The sequence below is a fragment of the Homo sapiens genome, chromosome 10 (assembly GCF_000001405.40).
Source record: "Homo sapiens chromosome 10, GRCh38.p14 Primary Assembly".
NCBI classification, from domain to species: domain Eukaryota; kingdom Metazoa; phylum Chordata; class Mammalia; order Primates; family Hominidae; genus Homo; species Homo sapiens.
The window spans coordinates 86,785,107-86,805,576 of record NC_000010.11 but is presented as its reverse complement, the minus strand read 5'-3'; the positions used below and the strand labels follow the sequence as shown (position 1 = coordinate 86,805,576).

The 20,470-nt window shown below is 39.1% G+C and overlaps 1 protein-coding gene across 35 annotated transcripts in view, besides 1 other annotated feature; it reads right to left on the bottom strand.

Annotated features, from left to right (window-relative positions):
- BMPR1A (bone morphogenetic protein receptor type 1A) overlaps positions 1–20,470 on the bottom strand; it is a 177,082-nt gene that overhangs the window by 127,268 nt on the left and 29,344 nt on the right. For 4 of the 35 annotated variants that reach the window (NM_001406577.1, NM_001406572.1, NM_001406582.1 and 1 more), the window contains exon 2: positions 11,950–12,193. The exons of 30 other annotated variants lie outside the window; for them this stretch is intronic. The gene's annotated coding sequence lies outside the window, so the exon portion shown is untranslated. Of the gene's footprint in view, positions 1–6,244; positions 6,400–11,949; positions 12,194–20,470 lie in introns of all 35 variants that reach the window. One more of the 35 variants, NM_001406565.1, reaches the window with a different exon arrangement.
- Positions 11,834–12,560: an enhancer, noted in NCBI's record as "H3K27ac hESC enhancer chr10:88552774-88553500 (GRCh37/hg19 assembly coordinates)". NCBI's record gives its function as "activates a minimal SCP1, AML or CMV promoter by ChIP-STARR-seq in naive H9 embryonic stem cells {active_cell/tissue: H9 hESC(naive)}" and the evidence as "EXISTENCE:reporter gene assay evidence [ECO:0000049][PMID:30033119]".

Sequence of the window (20,470 nt, the reverse complement as noted above, 5' to 3'; positions counted from 1 at the left end):
GGCAGGAGAATTGCTTGAACTGGGGAGGTGGAGGTTGCAGTGAGCCAAGATCCTGCCACTGCACTCCAGGCTGGGCGACAGAGCGAGACTCCGTCTCAAAAAAAAAAAAAAAAAAGGAAACTGAAATAGTAAGGGTAAAGGGGCATAATATATACAACCTCACTCTTAAAAGTGTGTGTGTGTGTGTGTGTGTGTGTGTACAGGTAGGAGTGAAGAGACAGAAACAGAGAATTATAATGCAAATATGGGAAAATGTTAAAAACTGGTGAATGTGGGTATGAAGATTATGGGCATTCACAATGGTATTCCTACATCTTTTCTAAGTATGAAATGATTTCAAAATAATAAAAATGAATTAAATTCATATATTCAAGTTCTAACCACCAGTACCTCAGACCATAAATTTGTAAATAGGGTCTTTACAGAGGTAATCAAGTTAAAATGAGATTATCAGGGTAGGGCCTAATCCTATATGACTATACCATCCTTATAAAAAGGGAGACATCTAGATATGAAACCACAGACATGTGGGGAGAGACAGGGATAAAACTGCCATCTGAAACCCAAGGAACGCCTGAGGCTACCGGGAGTTAGGAAGGAGGCCAGAAGCAGATCCTTCCCTGGTACCTTTAAAGGGAGCATGGCTCTGCGGACACTCCTATTTTGGATCCCTTGATTTTGGAAGTACAGCCTCTAGAATTGGGAGACAATAAATTTCTGCTATTCTAAACCCACACAAACAAATAAAATAATTAGAATAGCAAAAAAAAAAAAAAAAAAAAAACACCTACAAACATTAAGCTAAAATAAATTCAAAACTTTTTATAGACATGAGACATACTTGACCAAATAAAGGTGTTTAAAAACACAAATACTTGGGTTATTCACTGGTGGTCACAAAATAAAGACTGAGGAAATCATCAAACACCAACCTTGCACCAATCTTGCACTTAATAAATGAATTAAATTCATATATTAAAGTCCTAATCCCCAGTACCTCAGACCATAAATTTGTAAATAGGGTCTATAAAGAAAATCATGTGTGGCTGGGCTCAGTGGCTCATGCCTGTAATCCCAGCACTTTGGGAGGCCTAGGTGGGTGGATCACTTGAGATCATGAGTTTGAGATCAGGAGATGGCGAAACCCCATCTCTGCTAAAAATATAAAAATTAGCCGGGTGTGGTGGTGGGTGCCTGTAGTCCCAGCTACCAGGGAGACTGAGGCAGGAGAATCACTTGAACCCACGAGGTGGAGTTGCAGTGAGCCAGGATCGCGCCACTGCACTTCAGCCTGGGCGACAGAACAAGACTCTGTCTCAAAATAAAAGAAAACTATGTGATACAAAACTACTAACCAAACCCATATATTACTAAGTCCCAATTGTGAATATATTAAAACTGATTTAGCAAAGTTATTATTATTTAAAGATGATATATTTTAAATCCCCTATGAGAATAAACTGAAAATTATTAGAAAAAGAAGTTAAATATGTTGAATGATTTAATAAAAATTAGTAAGCTGTGTATGTATTAACAAAACTGGTTAGAAAATATAGTGGAAAAATAGTATCATTCACAATAGCACCCAAAAATATAACACATGAGAAAAACTACAAAACTTTACTGAAAGTCAAAAAAGAAGACTTGTGAAAGATGAAACGCGAATTTATTAATTAGTAAACTATATACTGTAAAGATGGTAGTCCTCTCCAAATCAAATCAATCAGTCAATGAATATTAGCAGACTTTTCAGTAGAATCAGATAAAACATTTCTAAAGACAGTTGGAAAAATAAACAAATATCCTCGACTTTTGAAAAAGTCAGAAAAATTTGCTTTACCAAGTATTAAAATGTACCCAAAGCTATACTGATATAAACAGTGTGATTCCACTGTCAAGAGATAGGTCACAAAAGACCAAAAGTAGATCCAAATATATATGAGAATATAATAAAAGTAACATCTCAAATCAATAAAGAGTGGTGAAAGAATTTGCCAACGATTTGGGAAAAAATTAAGTCGGATCCTTACGTTATGCAACAAAACTAATTCCAGATAAATAAAACGTTCAAATATAAAATGTAAAACTATAAAAGAACTGGAAAACACTACTGTAATGGGGAAAAAAATGTCTAAGTTTGACATCAAAAGTAAAAACCATAAAGAAAAATGTGGCTGATGTAAATTGTTATTAAAGATAATAATGGCCAGGCAGGGTGGCTCATGCCTGGAATTCCAACACTGTGGAAGCCAAGGACTGCTTGAAGCCAGGAGTTTGAGATCAGCCTGGGCAACAAAGTGAGATGCTGTCTCTTTATAAAAATAAATAACACCAAATTTAATTTTCTTCTGTTTCATGTAGCAACCTTGGTAAGCTTGTGACATTATTACAATTATGTTGTGCTTTAGAATTGTGACTATGGCAGTAACATCAGTATATTTTATTCTACCCATCTGACTTCACTTTAAAGAAAACAATTTTTCACTTTGATTTGACAACTGACTTTTCCTAGAATGGATAGGAATATATGCAGTAAAAAAAGGCTTAGGGTCTTTTTTTTTTTTTTTTTTTTGAGACCGGGTCTTGCTCTGTCGCCCAGGCTAGAGTGCAGATCCCTAGATAGGGCCACAGCCATGTATCACAATGCCTGGCTAATCTTTGTCTTTTTTGGAGACATGGAGTCTCACTACGTTGTCCACGCAGGTCTCCAACTCCTGGGCTCAAGCAATCCTCCTGCCTCAGCCTCCCAATTAACTCCTTTTTTTTTTTTAAACATGTCTGTGATTATTATTTTTGGCTGGAATGAAAGAAATTATCTAAAATTCAGCTAACTTCTGACAAGTTGGTGTTGAGTTACTAAAATGCATACAAATTCCTAAACTGATTAAAGCTAACATTCGAGGTTAATGAATGAGAAGTATCTGTAAGGATGGTTTTTTTTTTTTCTCCCTCAAGCTTGCACCAGCTGATCTGAGAGCTACTTGAACCTCAACTGGTTAAATGACCTAGGTTATAAGCAAATGTTCTAAAGGGGAAAAAACTGCTTATTTGAATGTGACATCCCACGTCAAATTTTTAGTTTCTTCTCCCTTTCCTTTACATCATAGTCATTCAAGCATTTGTATGTGCAGTATAGAGGCAAAAAGTACTAATGTAGTTCAGATTCTTTAACATGGGTTATTTTTACTTTCCAAGTCCTATTTTTTATCCTTTCATAAATTAGCCCAAAATGTAGGGTACAGTATATAAGGCCAGAATTATGATACTCACTGTACACAGGGCTTAAGGGATTCAGGGTAAGGGCAGAAGCCAACAAGACACCATCCTCAGCCCTGATCTGGAGCGTCCCTCACCACCATCTGGACTGTGCTGAAAGAGGTGGAAGGCTATATGCAGAGTTGTGTCACAGCGGCTAAGAGTTTGGCACAGGAGAGCCAGCTGTGCCAAATGCTACTGAGAGAGTAAAGGAGATGGGGCTGGACAATGGAGGCCCTCAACGACGCAGACAAAAATGGCCTGAGGAATGCAAACTGTGGTGGACAAGAGAATAAGAATCAGGCAAGGGTGGGGGGCGGTGGCTCACACCTGTAATCCCAGCACTTTGGAAGGCGGAGGGGGGCAGATCACAAGGTCAGGAGATCGAGACCATCCTGGCTAACATGATGAAACTCCGTCTCTACTAAAAAAGTACAAAAAATTAGCCGGGCATGGTGGCGGGTGCCTGTAGTCCAAGCTACTCGGGAGTCTGAGGCAGGAGAATGGCGTGAACCCGGGAGGCAGAGCTTGCAGTGAGCCAACATGCGCCACTGCACTCCAGCCTGGGAGACAGAGCAAGACTCCGTCTCACAAAAAAAAGAATAAGGCAGGTTAAACAGTTGAAAGAAGGTGAAGGACAGGAAGTGTTGCAAGCAGACCATCCCTGAAGCATCTGGCTAAGGAAGGGGTAGAGGCTGACTTTTTTTAAGGGAATGGTTGAGTTTTCTTACCAAGTCTCTACCAGAGATTGTTTACTGATAGGAATGAACCAAAAACAGGGGTAATGACTAAAGAAGAGAGGGGAGAAACAGTCAAAATTCACACAGATACCATACACAAACAGAGCTAACTAGGTGATATTAATCTCTAAGCTTCTATCAGGCTGGGCACAGTGGCTCACACCCGTAATCCCAGAACTTTCAGAGACCAAGGTGGGTGGATGGCTTGAGTGGGCCCAGGAGTTCAAGACCAGCCTGAGCAACACAGTGAAACCTCATCTTTACAAAAAATACAAACTATCAGTTGGGCATGGTGGCGCACGCCACCAACTACTCAGGAGGCTGAGGTGGGAGGATCACCTGAGCGTGGGGAGGTCAAGGCTCCAGTGAGCCCGTGATAGCACCACTGCACTCCAGCCTGGGTGACAGAATGAGACCCTGTCTCAAAAAATATATAAAAACAAAAATTAAAGAATTTAAAAAATAAGCTTATGTCAGCCTCACTAGAATTCAGCATTTTAGTACACATTGTCCTGCCCATATTTTTAACATCTATGCAAACAATATTTCCAGATAAGCTCATATTTACAATTACTGTCATGCAAAACATACAAAGTTTCTTGCCATCTCTAGACACTTAGGAAGTTTCTCATCATACGTAAGTACGTGAAGATTATTTTCCTCACAGCGGCACTACTAATTTTATTCTCACTTTAAAATAATCCCTTTCAATGTCTGAATTCCTCTTCTAGTTAGTTTTTCATTACGTATCTTCTCCACATATATTAATTGCTATGAATTATGTCTTAACTCCTAAGAAACAGGACTTTTGACAGATATAAATAGAAATGTTCATTATTTTCGCAAAGAATTACATGCTTTCTTGTTTTTCTTAAAACACAAATCGCCTGGCCAGGTGTGGTGGCTCATGCCTGTAATCCCAGCACTTTGGGAGGCCGAGGCGGGTGGATCACTTGAGCTCAGGAGTTCAAGACCAACCTGGCCAACATGGTGAAATCCCGTCTCTACTAAAAAATACAAAAATTAGCTGGGCATGGTGGCGGAAGCCTGTAATCCCAGCTACTTGGGAGACTGAGGCAGAAGAATCGCTTGAACCTGGGAGGCGGAGGTTGCGGTGAGCCGATTTCACATTGCACTCCAGCCTGGGCAACAAGAGCGAAACTCCGTCTCACAAAACAAAAACAAAAACAAAAATGGCCTTATTTTAGGTTTCCCTCTTTTGATAGGAACATGAGACTATCACTCCCCCCTCGGCTCACTATATGAAGAAAGAGTCCAAATGCAGTGAGTGATGGCAACTGAGAGCCGGGCAGATGGCAGGGAGAACAGCCTACTTAGCTCCACTGAGGGCTGCAATTGGGAATACAGGCCCTGTGCTGCCCATCTTACCATTTTTCAAGATGAGTCAGAAATCTGCATTTTCTTTTGAAAACTCTCCCAATTTTTAATTGTTGGCCACTAATTTTTAAAAAATTACATTATAAGCCAAAAACATGCCTACAGGCCAAATCCAACTGACAGGTCACTAGTTTGCAACCTGTATGTTAAAGAATCATGGTTCATCTACTATTCTTTTTCTTGTTTTTAGTTAAATCTTCCCTCCAAGCAGAGATATGTTGTTTTTCTATAATATACCCACTTAAAGACTCAAAAGACTACCAACAACTGCCATTAAACATCTCTCTTTTAAAAAGTAATTTACTATATTTGCATTTTGATACTGGTTTGGGATGGGAAAGAAATTCATTTTAAATTTACAATTACTCTTGTAATCACAGCACGCTGGGAGGTCGAAGTGGGTGGATCGCTTGAGCCCAGGAATTCAACACCAAGTGAAGCCCCATCTCTACAAAAATACAAAAATTAGCTGGGTGTGACGATGTGCGCCTGTTGTCCCAGCTACTCAGGAGGATAAGGAGGGAGGATCACTTGAGCCCAAGAGGCAGAGGTTGCAGTGATCCAAGATCACACCACTTCACTCCAGCTTGGGCAACAGAGCAAGATCTTGTCTCAAAACAAAAGAAAACAAAAAAAGAAAGAAAGAAAAGAAAGAAAAGAAAAGAAAAGAAAAGAAAGGAAGGAAGGAAGGAAGGAAGGAAGGAAGGAAGGAAGAAAGGAAGGAAGAAAGAAAATGTACAATTACTCATGAAAAAAAGTAGTTATCAGTAGTTATTTGTAGAGCACCTGCAGTGTGCCCAGCACATTACTAAGCATTTTCACACTCTAGTTTTCACGAAAGCCTAAATTACCTTGTGAAGTTGATATTATTATCTCATTTTACAGACGACTTGTAATAGTTCACAAATTTCTCAGTTTTTCTTTCTCGGCATTCAGAATCCAGCAGAAATGGTTGGTTAGGGTTGCCTTTTGATAGGTATCATCAATCAATGATAATTACAACCATCTTAAATCACAGTAACAAAAATGCAAGGTAAAGATTTTGAAGGACAATATCCTTTGAAAAAAACAGCTAAAACTTTAACTCCTTAAGTTCTCCATTTTCACTAATGTTCCCTGACATCCCTTTAGTAGTCAGTTATTTTCAAGACAAGTAAAATTGAAGTCAGCTCTTCTTTTTGGTTAATATGTTCCTTTCCAGAATCTCTAAAAACAAAGTCTTGCAAAAACCAAAGCTTTTTTATTAACATAACAAGGACTAAAGGAACACCACTGACTACTGACACAAGGCACAGTGCTCAGCTCACATGCAATAAAACAAGTCGGATTCCCCACTCACATGAGCTTACAGTTTCAGTTTCTGAGAATGGAAACAGATCTGAAAGTAATTATGGTAAGTGCAACAAAGGAGATTTAAAACAGGATGCTGGATAGCTTTCACCAAGGTGTTTAAGTAAAAAGACATACTGGGCAAAATCTCAATACAATTGGAAAGGTAGAAAGACAAACTGCTCCCTTACAGTGAAGTGGTTCCTTTAAGATATTACAAGGCCTGAAGTCTTACATTAACATCTTATAAATACACAGTTCTACTCATATTTTATATGTCCTAGAGATTCCATGTTTAAGCCTTTAATTTTGATCTTTTAAAAGCCACTCATTTTTCTGTAAAACATGCATAAATAATAAACTTCAGTATTTTAAAAAGTAAAACCCTCATCAGGATTTAAGTTCTAAGGCTCAAGGAACATTTAAGTAATTAAAGCAAATTATATATTTATAAAAATAACAGACAAAACCAATAGCATTTATCAAATAATGTGGAAAGGATAATTGTTAAAATGCTACTTTTATTGATAACATGTAAAAACTTAGTATTAGTTTTTTAAGTATGGAAATTGTGATGAATGGTCTAATTACTTGGTTTTTGCAAAGATATAAAATGTCATACGGTAGTAAGCTACAAAAGCTAAGTGCCAAAATGAGTCATAATTCCCTAGTAAAAAAAAATAGGACTAAAAAAGGAATACCTCTAAAAGTCTTACAAATATGCTTATATAAGAATGATACAAAACATCCATGACCTTAAATGAAGAGGATGTGTCAAAAATGTCTTAATCTCACTAGCAATTAATATATCAAAATAATAAATAGCAAATAGACAAAGTTTTGAACACAGTCTTAAGTAAAAGATTCAAAAATCTCTCCTAAGATTTATCTCCATTTTCCCATTTCTGAGGCTTACCTACATCTAATTTTTAAATATATAAATATATTCACTTAATAATTTAAATGACAATATCCTACAGCAACCAACCCAATTCTCACTAGTCACTTTCAAACATCTTCCGGGTCTCATGCATTAACAGATTTCTTGACATTACAGGGAACCACAACTCAACCTTTTTGGACCTTTTTGGAACAAGGTCCATATTTGAACACACAGAAGTACAGAAGAAAAGCCCTCGATGGTACCTGAAAATGCTATACAATTTGAAGAATTAAAGTTCAAATTCTGGCCGGGCACGGTGGCTCACGCCTGTAATCCCCAGCACTTTGGGAGGCTGAGGTGGGCGGATCACTTGAGGTCAGGAGTTCAAGACCAGGCTGGCCAACGTGGTGAAACCTCGTCTCTACTAAAAATACAAAAATTGGCTGGGCGCAGTAGTTCATGCCTGTAATCCCAACACTCAGGGAGGCCGAAGTGGGCGAATCACGAGGCCAGGAGTTCCAAGACCAGCCCAACCAACACTGCGAAACCCCATCTCTACTAAAAATACAAAAAATTAGCTGGACATAGTGGTGGGCGCCTGTAATCCCAGCTACTCAGGAGGCTGAGGCAGGAGAATCACTTGAACCCAGGAGGTGGAGGTTGCAGTGAACCGAGATTGGGCCACTACACTCCAGCCCAGACAACAGAGCAAGACTCCGTCTCAAAAAAAAAAAAAAAAATTAGCCGGGCTTGGTGGCAGGCGCCTGTAATCCCAGCTGCTCTGGAGGCTGAGGCAGGAGAATTGCTTGAACTTGGGAGGCGGAGGCTGCAGTGAGCAGAGATCGCGCCACTGCACTCCAGCCTGGGCGACAGAGCAAGACTGTCTCAAAAAAAAAAAAAAAAGAAAAGAAAAGAAAAAGAAAGGAAAAATAAGAGTATAAACTGGGAAGAAAAATTGGAGCCACAATATAGAAAGCCAAGTATAAAATCAAGTTACTGGGCAAAAATCTGTGAATAAATTAGAACTAAAGCATGAGAGCTAAAGAGAATAAAACTTTTATGAACAGGACAAAACAGAACAACACCAACTCCCAATACCCAACCACAAACTTTTATTGGCTGTACCTTTTCTCTTTTGGAAAAAGCTCACTGGGACAATATTCTGCTAAGAAAATACAGTAACTCAGTCTCGGTGACATGGCAAAACCCTGTCTCTACAAAAAATACAAAAATTAGCTGGAGTGGTAGCGTGAGCTGGTCCCAGCTACTTGGGAGGCTGAGGTGGAAGCACTGCTAGAGCCTAGGAGGGGGAAGTTGCAGTGAACTGAGATCATGCCACTGTACTCCAGCCTGGGCAACAGAGAGAGATTCTGTCTCAAAAAACAAAAAAGAAGAAACAAGGAAAGAAAAGAAAATACAGCACCTACTCTCAAAATACTAAAAATAAATAAATAAATAAATAAATAAATAAATAAATAAATGTGCCTAAATTTATGTGATATAATTCTGATTACTAATTATAGTGACTTTCTTCAGAAGGGTAGTAAGTAAATTGATGAACATTATTAATACTTAAAATGACCTAAAAGTGAAGAAAAAAATAGTATTTCTTAATGGACAAATAATGTTTGACAGGGATTTACAAATAGCTTACAAATAATGCTTAAACTTCCTAACCCCTCAGAAAAGGGACCAGTCACATATTTATAAATACATATTTATGAAATACATTTAAACTTTAATAACCAAAATTGTTTAATTCCTTAAAGGCTTAAAAAAAAGCATATATTCTAACTAAAACCAACTGGGAAAAAAATACGACATAAAACAGTCAAATTAATATTCAGAATATGGCACTGGGATTTTATGACGTTTTTATGTGAAAATTCTTTTCAAACTCTTCATTTATCTAAGAGTAGCAAGGAAACAGAACAAAAGAAATATTGTAACTGCTTTGGGGACTTTTTACCACTACCTTTCTGAAACACACAATCTAATTCATGGCCATTTTGTGCCAAGAAAGTTATTTTTTTCCCCTCAAAATATAATTTAAAATACTCTTTAAATTTAACTCAATATCAATTTGAGATAAATTGATGTTTAACTGCATTATTAAACTATAACCTTTAAGCTCTCAAAGAAAATATTTTTAAATACCTCTGAATATACAAAGAAATAACTATTTGGATTACTTGAAATGCTAAATTATAAAAAAGTAAAGAAAGCCTTAAAAAAAATAAGTAGCAACTTTTAAGAGTATTTAAGTTAAAATGGTACTCTTCGGGGCCCTGTTAGGAAAACTGCCTAATTCCCTCCCTCCCTACTATGGGGAAGGGTTGAAGACATAGTGGCAAATGCATACTCTAGCCTCACTATTGCTTCTCTGAACGTGTGCAGTGGTAGGCTCAGGAACAAAGAATGTGTAACCTGATCTCTTTTCCTTCTCTCCTTCACAGCAACTTTTAGAAAGTAATTTAACCTCCCAAAATGGCATCTTTGTGCTGCTTAGGGGAAAAAGATCTATTCACTGTTACAGCGTTAGGAAAAAAAAAAAACAAATCACTTTTTAAATATGGTTTTTGCTTAACATAGTGATATTTTTGTCAAACACTGAGTACTTAGACAAGCCAATTATAAATGAATCACTATCTGAGTAAAATGTCTACTAACCAAGATTTTAAATGTAGCTCAGGATTTAAGAAAAATCAGTCTTACTAATGCAAGGTAGACTTAGTATTTATTTTGCTTCTACAACACATATAGTATAGCTCCAAATAAGTCTACAGAAAAAAAAAAATAAAGATTAAAAATTATCTAGATAGGCCAGGAGTGGTGGCTCACCCCTATAATCCCAGCACTTTGGGAGGCAGAAGCAGGCAGATCACCTGAGGTCGGGAGTTCAAGACCAGCCTGACCAACATGGAGAAACCCCATCTCTACTAAAAATACAAAATTAGCTAGTTGTGGTGGTGCATGCCTGTAATCCCAGCTACTCGGGAGGCTGAGGCAGGAGAACTGCTTGAACCAAGGAGGTGGAGTGTGCGGTGAGTCAAGATGGCACCATTGCACTCCATCCTGGGAAACAAGAGCGAAACTCTCTATCTAAAAAAAAAAAACTATATCTATATCTATATATCTATATCTATAGATATAGATATAGATAAATTTGAATTTTAAATCCTAGTGACTATACGAATCACAGAAGTCATTACTTTTAATTCTCATATTATCTTTTCATTTACCATAATTTAATAAAGGAAATATGTGAATCTGAAAATCTGGAAAGGAATAGAAACCTAAAAATAGTTGCTAGGCAGGTATCAAAGAATGTACTGAACGTTCTCACCTTTGACAAAAATCTTAAAAGCCATTCTAAAATTAATACCAACAAAATGTTATATACTTTTTATACATTTCAAAAGGCACTCTAACTTGATGACTTAATTTGATCTTCACAACAACCTTGTGAGTTAGGTGATCACATATTTGCTTATTTGAGACAGACACAAAAAGATTGGTAGAAATCTCTTGCCTCCCATCTAGAACCCTAAACTATTACTTTATTTCAGTACATACAGACAAGCATTACTATCTTGATTTCACCAAAGAAGAAACAAGTACAGAGAAGAAACTTGCCTAACGTCACAGTGCTGCTACACAGCAGAACAAGATTCAGGCCAGGACCAATCCAAGCCTCACCTCTAACCACAACTGTCATAAAAAAAAAATAGATAAAATTAACAGTTCAAAATTATGTAGCTGACTAAAAACCAACTGTGGTAGCAGGATAATGGCCCCTGCAGACATTCACATCCTAATCCCTGTAACCTATGAATATGTTATTTAAATGGCAAAAGGGACTTTGCAGATGTGTGACTAAGGGTCCAAAACCTGAGATGGGGCGATTATCCTGGATGAGCTTGTTGGGACCAATCTACTCACATGGTCCTTAAAAGCAGAGAACTTCTCCCAAGTACGGTGGGAAAGAGATGACAGGAGGTCAGAGCCATGTCACCTTGCTGACTGTGAAGGTGAACAGGAAGGGGAGCCTGATCCAGGAATGCAGCCAGCCTCTAGAGGCTGTAAGAGGCACAGAATCCATACTTCCTTAGAACTTCCCGAAAGGAACACGGCCCTGTAGACACCTGCATCTTAGCCTAGTGAGACCTGTGTTGGACTTCTGACCTGCAGAACCATAAGATAATAAATTTGTGCTCTATAAACCACTAAAAGTATGGTAATTTGTTACAGTAACAACAGAAAATATACCAACTACACTACATAATTGACACTGTCTTACACCATCTAAAAAAACTATCTGTCAGGCCTGGCGCAGTGGCTCACCTGTAATCCCAGCACTTTGGGAGGCCGAGGCAGGCAGATCACCTGAGACCAGCCTGATCAATATGATGAAACCCTGTCTCTACTAAAAATACAAAAATTAGCTAGGCGTGGTGGCATGCACCTGTAATCCCAGCTACTCGGGAGGCTGAGACAGGAGAATCGCTTGAATCCGGGAGGCAGAGGTTGCAGAGAGCCGAGATCACGCCATTGCACTCCAGCCTGGGCAACAACAGCGAAACTCCATCTCAAAAAAAAAAAAAAACTGTCAGTGAGCAAGCGTGTCATCAGAAATCCTGTCTCCAGTACAGATGAAATAAAAATACAGGTACCCTTCCCTATACAACTCAATGTGATCTTACTGCTTAATGATATTCTGGCCCAATGCTATACTTTTTAATTCTTCTTCCTCTTCTCCTAACAAGTCAACTGTAAATACAAAGCCCTGAAATTCCGAAACATAAATCCAGCTAACTTTCTTTTTTGCCTTGTCCACACCACCATGTGTGTGTGGGGTGGCGGGGGGTGGGGGGGGGTATAGATCAGGAGGATGAAAAAAGGACACATAGTAGCTAGAGAAGACTGCATTAAGGCAGAAGACTTACCAGAAAGAAACAAAGCAGTGGGCTATTAAACAGAATGTGAATCACTGAACAGAGTATTTGCCAAGAAGCTGCACTAGACATAATAATAAATTACTCCTTGATATAGGTGCTATTATTATCCCATTTATATATAGGGAAACAGAGCACAGAACAGCAATATAATTTAGCAAGGTCACTGTAATATCAACCTTAAATCTCTTCAACAGAATCCAAATACAATTGTGATCTGATACCCATCATGATCCATTTTAAAGTGAAATTTTCACAGCATATTTTCCTCCTTGAATTCATATTTCCAGTACATTTGCCCTGCATATAGTAATTGCTAATGCTTGGAAGTCTTATTAGTCACTCAGTCATACATGTCTGAAGTTCTGTTTGTTTGTTTGTTTTATAGAGACAGATTCTCCCTATGTTGCCCTGGTTGGTTTCAAACTCCTGGACTCAAGCAATCCTCCTGCCTTGGCCTCCCAAAGTGATGGGATTACAGGTTTGAGCCACTGCACCCAGCCTGTCTGATGTTTAAATGAAAAACATTTTAAATTTCCTGACCATAAAGAAGCTTCTAAGTGTTTAAAAAATTATTTTGAATTCAATTACCATTATAATTTTTAGCAGTATGCAATTCATTTAAATGGCAAACATTAAAGATCTGACAGTAGGCCAGGCATGCTGGCTCATGCCTGTAATCCCAGCACTCTGGGAAGCTGAGGCAAGCGGACCACAATGTCAGGAGATCAAGACCATCCTGGCTAACATGGTGAAACCCATCTCTACTAAAAATACAAAAATTAGCTAGGCATGGTGGCGTGTGCCCGTAATCCCAGCTACTCGGGAGGCTGAGGTAGGAGAATTGCTTGAACCAGGGAGTTGGAGGTTGCAGTGAGCAGAGATCATGCCACAGCACTCCAGCCTAGCAACAGAGTAAGAGTCCATCTAAAAAAAAAAAAAAAAAAAAAAAAGATCTGACAGTAATTAACAACATTAAAGGTAAAAATTCTACTGGAGGCTGGGAACAGTGGCTCACGCCTATAATCCCAGCACTTCCGGGAGGCCAAAGCAGGCGATCACTTGAGGTCAGGAGTTTGAGACCAGCCTGGCCAACGTGGTGAAACCCCCATCTCTAGCAAAAAAAAAAAAGCCAGGCATGGTGGCACACATCTGTAGTCCCAGCTACTCGGGAAGGCTGACATGGGAGAAATGCTTGAACCCAGGGGCAGAGGTTGCAGTGAGCCAAAATAGTGCACCACTGCACTCCAGCCTGGGCAACAGAGCAAGAGGGAGGGAGGGAGGGAAGGAAGGAAGGAAGGAAGGGAGGGAGGGAGGGAGGGAGGGAGGAAGGAAGTAAAGAAGGAAAGAAAAATTACTGGAAATGTACGTCTCTTAATGAGATGGACAGGGCTTTTTTTTTTTCTTCATTAGTTCATGTATCTCTTTGAATAATTATTGCTAAAATCAGACATCACTTAGTGAATTTCTACTTTTCTGTGCGTGTGTTTCAAGAAAGCACTGAGGGCTGGGTGCGGTGGCTCACGCCTGTAATCCCAGCACTTTGGGAGGCCGAGGCGGGGACATCACGAGGTGAGGAGATTGAGACCAGCCTGGCCAACATGGTGAAACCCCGTCTCTACTAAAAATACAAAAAATTAGCCAGGCATGGTGGCACGTGCCTGTAGTCCCAGCTACTCAAGAGGCTGAGGCAGAAGAATTGCTTGAACCCAGGAGGCGGAGCTTGCAGTGAGCCGAGATCGCACCACTGCACTCCAGCCTGGGAAACAGAGCGAGACTTTGTCTCAAAAAAAAAAAAAAAGCAAGCACTGAGAAGGCTTGCTCATATAAACAGGTGATGGAAATAAAAGGAATTCTGTCAGTTGGGTCACATGACTTTTAAAATTTCTTCTGAGTTATCTGTTGAAAATTACATAGTTGTTTTCCACCAGAAATATTTTAAATGATTTAGTAGCTAACACATTTATTATTTGTAAATATTGGAATTGATCCTTCAATTTTGTTAGAAGTGGAAAACTGAAAAACCATGAAAGGATTTGTTCTCCAAAGGCTATGGCCATTCATTTTCTTAACACTAAAACCAATATTTGGAATCACCACTTTGGGGGCCCCTGAGGCTTTATTCCATTCTTTGGAGATATAATTGACGTATAATAAAATTCACTCTTTTAAAGTGTGCAGTTCAGTAGCTATCGGCATATTCACAAAGTTGTGCAACCATCAACACTAATTCCAGTACATTTTTATCACTAATCTACTTTCTCTGTGGACTTACCTTTTCCGGACCTTTCATAAAAATAAGAATAATACAACATACGATATTTTGTGACTGACTTCTTTCAACCTGCATTAATGTTTTCAAAATTCATCTATGTTGTAAAATGAGTGAGTACTTCATTTCTTTTCATGGGTGAGTAATATTCCATTGCCTAGACAGACCACATTTTGTTTATCTATTTATCGGTTGGACATTTGGGTTGTTTCCTCCTATTATGAATAATGCTGCTGTAAACTTTCATGCACAAATTTTTGTGTGAACATGTTTTTAATGCTTTTGGATATATATCTAGGAGTGGAACTGCTGGATCATATGGAAACTCAACATTTAGCTTTTTGAGGAACTGCTAATCTGTTTCCAGACCAGCTGCACGATTTTATATTCCCACAAATAGTGTCTGGAGGTTCCCATTTCTCCATATCCTTACCAGCATTTGTTATTATCTATCTTTTTGATTATAGACATCCTAGTGGGTAAGAAGCAGAATCTCATTGTGGTTTTGATATATATATATATATATATATATATATATATATATATATATATATATTTTTTTTTTTTTTTTTTTTTTTTTTTGGAGACAGAGTCTCGCTCTGTCGTCCAGGCTGGAGTGCAGTGGCAGTGGCAAGATCTCGGCTCACTGCAAGCTCTGCCTCCTGGGTTCACGCCATTCTCCTGCTTCAGCCTCTTGAGTAGCTGGGACTACAGGAACCTGCCACCACGCCCGGCTAATTTTTTGTATTTTTAGTGGAGACGGGGTTTCGCTGTGTTAGCCAGGATGGTCTCGATCTCCTGACCTCATGATCTGCCCTCCTCGGCCTCCCAAAGTGCTAGGATTACAGGCGTGAGCCACCGTGCCCAGCCTTTGATTTATATTTCTAATGACTAACGACATTATTTTCATGAGCTTATGTAGCCATTTGTACATCTTCTTTGGAGTAATGTCTATCTGAATCCTTTGCCTGTTTTTAAATTAGATTTTTGGTTTTCTAAGTTAGTTACGTGTTTGTTTGTTTTTTTTTTCTAAGACAGAGTTTTCACTCTGTCACCCAGGATGGAGTGCAGTGGCATGATTTTGGCTCACTGCAACCTCTGCCTTCCAGGTTCAAGCAATTCTCCTACCTCAGCCTCCCAAGCAGCTGGGATTATAGGTGCCCACCATCACACCCAGCTAATTTTTGTATTTCTAGCAGAGATGGCGTTTCACCATGTTGGCCAGGCTGGTCTCGAACTCCTGACCTCAAGTGATCCGCCCACCTCAGTCTCCCAAAGTGCTGGAATTACAGGTGTGAGCCACGGCGCCCAGCCAGTTATGTGTTCTTTATGTATTCTAGACACAAGCTGCTTATCAAATATATTTTACAGTATTTTCTCCCATTCTATGGCTTGTTTTCTCACTCGACAGCGTCCTTTTATGCACACAGGTTTTTAATTTTGATAAAGTTTAATTTATCTACTTTTTTCTGATTGCTTGTGCTTTGTTGTCATATTGAAGAAATCACTGCCTAATCCAAGGTCACCAAGATTTATACCTATGTTTTCTTCTAAGATTTTTATGGTTTTAGCTCTTACATTTAGGTTTTTGATTCATTTTGAGTTGATTTTTGTTTATGGTATGAGGTAAAGGTCTAATTGCATTCTTTTGCAACTGAATATCTAATTCTTCCAGCACTATTCCATTGGTGTCTTAGAATTGTCCTGACACCCTTTTCATCCCTGAGGTTTTCCCACTACAAGGCAAGTGCATCATGGTAAGAGAAGGGTCAGAGGAAGAGTTATGCCATTTTTTTTAATAATGGAAAAAGCCATGGTGGAAAGGAATTTGAAAACAGAACTGGGCGCAGTGGCTCACAACTGTAATCCCAGCACTTTGGGAGACTGAGGTGGGTGAATCGCCTAAGGTCAGGAGTTCGAGACCAGCCTGGCCAATATGATGAAACCCTATCTCTACTAAAAATACAAAAATAAGCCGGGCATGGTGCAGGCACCTGTAATCCCAGCTACTCAGGAGGCTGAAGCAGGAGAGTCGCGTGAACCCAGGAGGCGGAGGTTACAGTGAGCCGAGATCACACTATTGCAACTCCAACCTGGGTGACAAGAGCCAAACTCCACATCAAAAAATAAAAAGGGAAGAACCGCTTGAACACTGGTTCAAAGGAAGAAATGCTTCAAAAAAGAGACATTTAAAGTTTAGGATTTGGAAATTGATTCAGGTAAAATTATCCATGTGCTTGTGCACCTCTAGGAGTCTGTTTCCACTCCAGCCCTAAGACCAATGTCTGGACACTGCTTTACACTACTGCCCCCTAAACTTAGGGTATGGGGGGCATCATTTGGGAACAATTTTTTATATTTCAATTGTGTAAATAATAAAATGAGACAGGACTCAGCATGAAGTTGATGAAAAGAGAAAGCCTATAGGTTTTTCTGCCTACACCACTTAGCCAAATAGAAAAGTTCATTTCCATCCTGTTTTACATGAAACATTTGATTCAATGTATGCTCTAACGGAATGGGCCTCTTTTTTAAATTTTAAAAAGCATTAAGAAATTTTGCCTTGGGTTTACTAGCTTACTCACCTTATCCCTAATTCCCTTGAAACAAACCCTAGTTAGATTAGGAATATAGTATGCCATCACTGCATAGAAATTTTAAGATCAAACCGCTGAGCCCACAGTACTTCCCTTTTCCCTAAAATATGTATTTAGTCAAATTCTCTTCCTCTATGGTTGAACCAATTTATGATACTGACTGACATGGCTTGGCTCTGTGTTCCCACCCAAATCTCATGTTGAACTGTGATCCTGAGTGTTAGAGGTGGGGCCTGCTGGGAGATGATTGGATTATGGGGGGGGGCAGATTTCCCCCTTGCTGTACTCATGATAGTGAGTTCTCAAGAGATCTGGAAGCATGTGGCATTCCCCTCTTTGCTGTCTCTCCTGCTGTCATGTGAAGATAGGCCTGCTTCCTCTTCCCCTTCTGCCATGATTGTAAGTTTCCTGAGGCCTCTCCAGCCATGCCTCCTGTATAGCCTGCATTACTGTGAGTCCATTAATTCTCTTTTCTTTATAAACTACCCAGTCTTTGGTATTTCTTTGTATCAATGTGAGAATCGACTAATACACTGACCAAACAAGACATGCTATTTCCTCATATTACATACTTCTGTCAGTTTAATAGGTGAGCATTATAGCCTTAGGGTTATCTTATTTCCCATGTCTTTAACTGGGATTAAATACAGACAGCATTTGTGCATGTGATGATTTTACTATTTCTGCCTTTTACTCCCAATCTAATTACTTACCCTACAAATAGATCTTTTATTTTAGACAGAAACTTCCATTAGTTTGGTCATATATTTCATACTCCATTGTTACTTTCCGTGTTAAATTTACTTTATTGCTTTTTACTATGTAAATTTTACTTATTTTTCAAACTAAAATCCAAGTATCCAAACAGTAATTAGTGACCCCTTTCTTTACTGGTGTGTTGTTCCTGGTCTATTAAATGCTAAATTTAAAGTTTGTTTCTGTGCTCTTATGCAACTTATTTAGTTCTTTTTTAAAAAATCCATTGATTATCATTGATTGTACTTTATAAGAGTGTGCTCTCAATTGATATAACACATGTTTTAAAGGGGCATGAAATCTATAATGCAAACATTAGATGGCAATTTCACTTAAATCCTTGATATTATTCTCAGAACAATAAAGATGACAATTCAAACAATTAAAAATATATTATTCAATACTGTTAAGAAACTAGCTAGCCGCCTGATTAAAAATAAATAAAAAGCCCTATCTCATGCTTTAGACCAAAAATAATCTGTAGACTGATGTTAAAGCAGAAGAAAATAGATTTGGTTTTGGTTTTGAATTTTCTTGGACAAAAAGAGCCATTCTAAGCATGGCCCATTAAGTTACTGGAGGAAGAATAAGTTCCCTTTAGAGAAAGCTGCATTTCATTTGCCTATTAGACATCCAGGTGGAACATAAGTCTGCATTTCAAAGAAGCGGCTCAGGCTGGAGATTTAAAATTTGGACTTCCGTCAAACTTTAAAACAAAGAGGGTTTCAAAGCCAGTGGGTCAAATAAGATCAACAAGGAAATGAGCATAGTTAAAACAGAGGTCTAAGGACTGAGCCCTGGAGGGACTCTGTGACAAAAGACTGAGATGGGGAATTTCTTTGTATGCTATCCTGGAAGCCAAGTGAACAAAGTGTTTCAACGAGCAGGAAATAAGTAATCACCAGTGTCAAATACTGTTACTAGGTCAAATAATTCAAGGATGAGAAAGGTAGGGTCAGAGCTGACCTCGCAAGAGCAGTGCAAGAAACAGGGTGCTGGGAGGGAAAGCCTCCTGAAATATCAGGAGGAGAAAAATTGGAAACAAAGTGCAGATACTTCTTTTAGGGAAAAAAGGGGTCGGGGTGGGAAATGAACAACGGTTAGAAGGAAAAATGGAGTTCAGAGAAGTTTTGTTGTGTTTTAAGATGAGAGAAACAACAGTATGTTGTTGTGGAGGAGAATGACCCTGCAGAGTGTAGAGGCAAGGGCTGAGTGAGCACAGTGCAGGTTTTGGCCCTGGCTAGAAGCATGGTCAGTTCATTCCGTAATAATTGAGGGATGTGAGAATACATGAAGCACAGACACAGGCAGTAGTGGCAGGAGCTTTGCAGATATTTTTCTTGTGGTATCTGTTTTCTCAACAAAATGAAAAGCAAAGTTGTGTGCTAAAGACGGTGAAAGTGACGTTGAAGGATTGAGAAGGAGCAGGTCTAAATGATCATTTAGGTCACACTGGGAGAATAAATGAACTAGGAACTACTGCTGTGCAGTTTTAAGGACTCTCCTGAACTTAGTGGTAATTAGTGGTAAGGCCAATCAGCCAAGTTAATTCTCCAGCCAAGCGCAGCTGTAAAGGTGCAAGTGCAGAACCAGAGCACCCAAATATAACAAGGCAAACACTGACAGAATTGAAAGAAAAAACAGACAGTAACCCAGTAACAGCAGGAGATTTCAGTATCCCCACTTTCAATAATGGACAGAACCACCGGAGAGCGGATCAATGAGGAGACACAGAATTTGAACACTGGAGAGTAACTGGAACTAACGGACACATAAAGAACACTATACCCGGCCGGGCGCAGTGGCTCACGCCTATAATCCCAGCTTTGGGAGGCCAAGTGGGCAGATCACCTGAGGTCAGGAGTTCGGGACCAGCCTGACCAAATTGGAGAAACCCTGTCTCTACTAAAAATACAAAATTAGCTAGATGTGGTGGCACATGCCTATAATCCCAGCTACTCGGGAAGGTGAGGCAGGAGAATCACTTGAACCCAGGAGGCGCAGATTGCGGTGGGCTGAGTTCCCACCACTGCACTGCAGCCTGGGCAACAAGAGCGGAAACTCCATCTCAAAAACAAACAAACAAAAAAACACTACACCCAACACTAGCTGAATACACATTTTCTCAAGTACACATGCAACATTCTCCAAGACAGATCACATGTTAGGCCACAGAACAAGTCTTAGCAAATTTAAGAAGACTGAAATCATAGCAAGTATCTTTTCTGACCACAATGGGAAATCAAAAGCAGTAGGAAAACTAAAAAATTCACAAATATTTAACA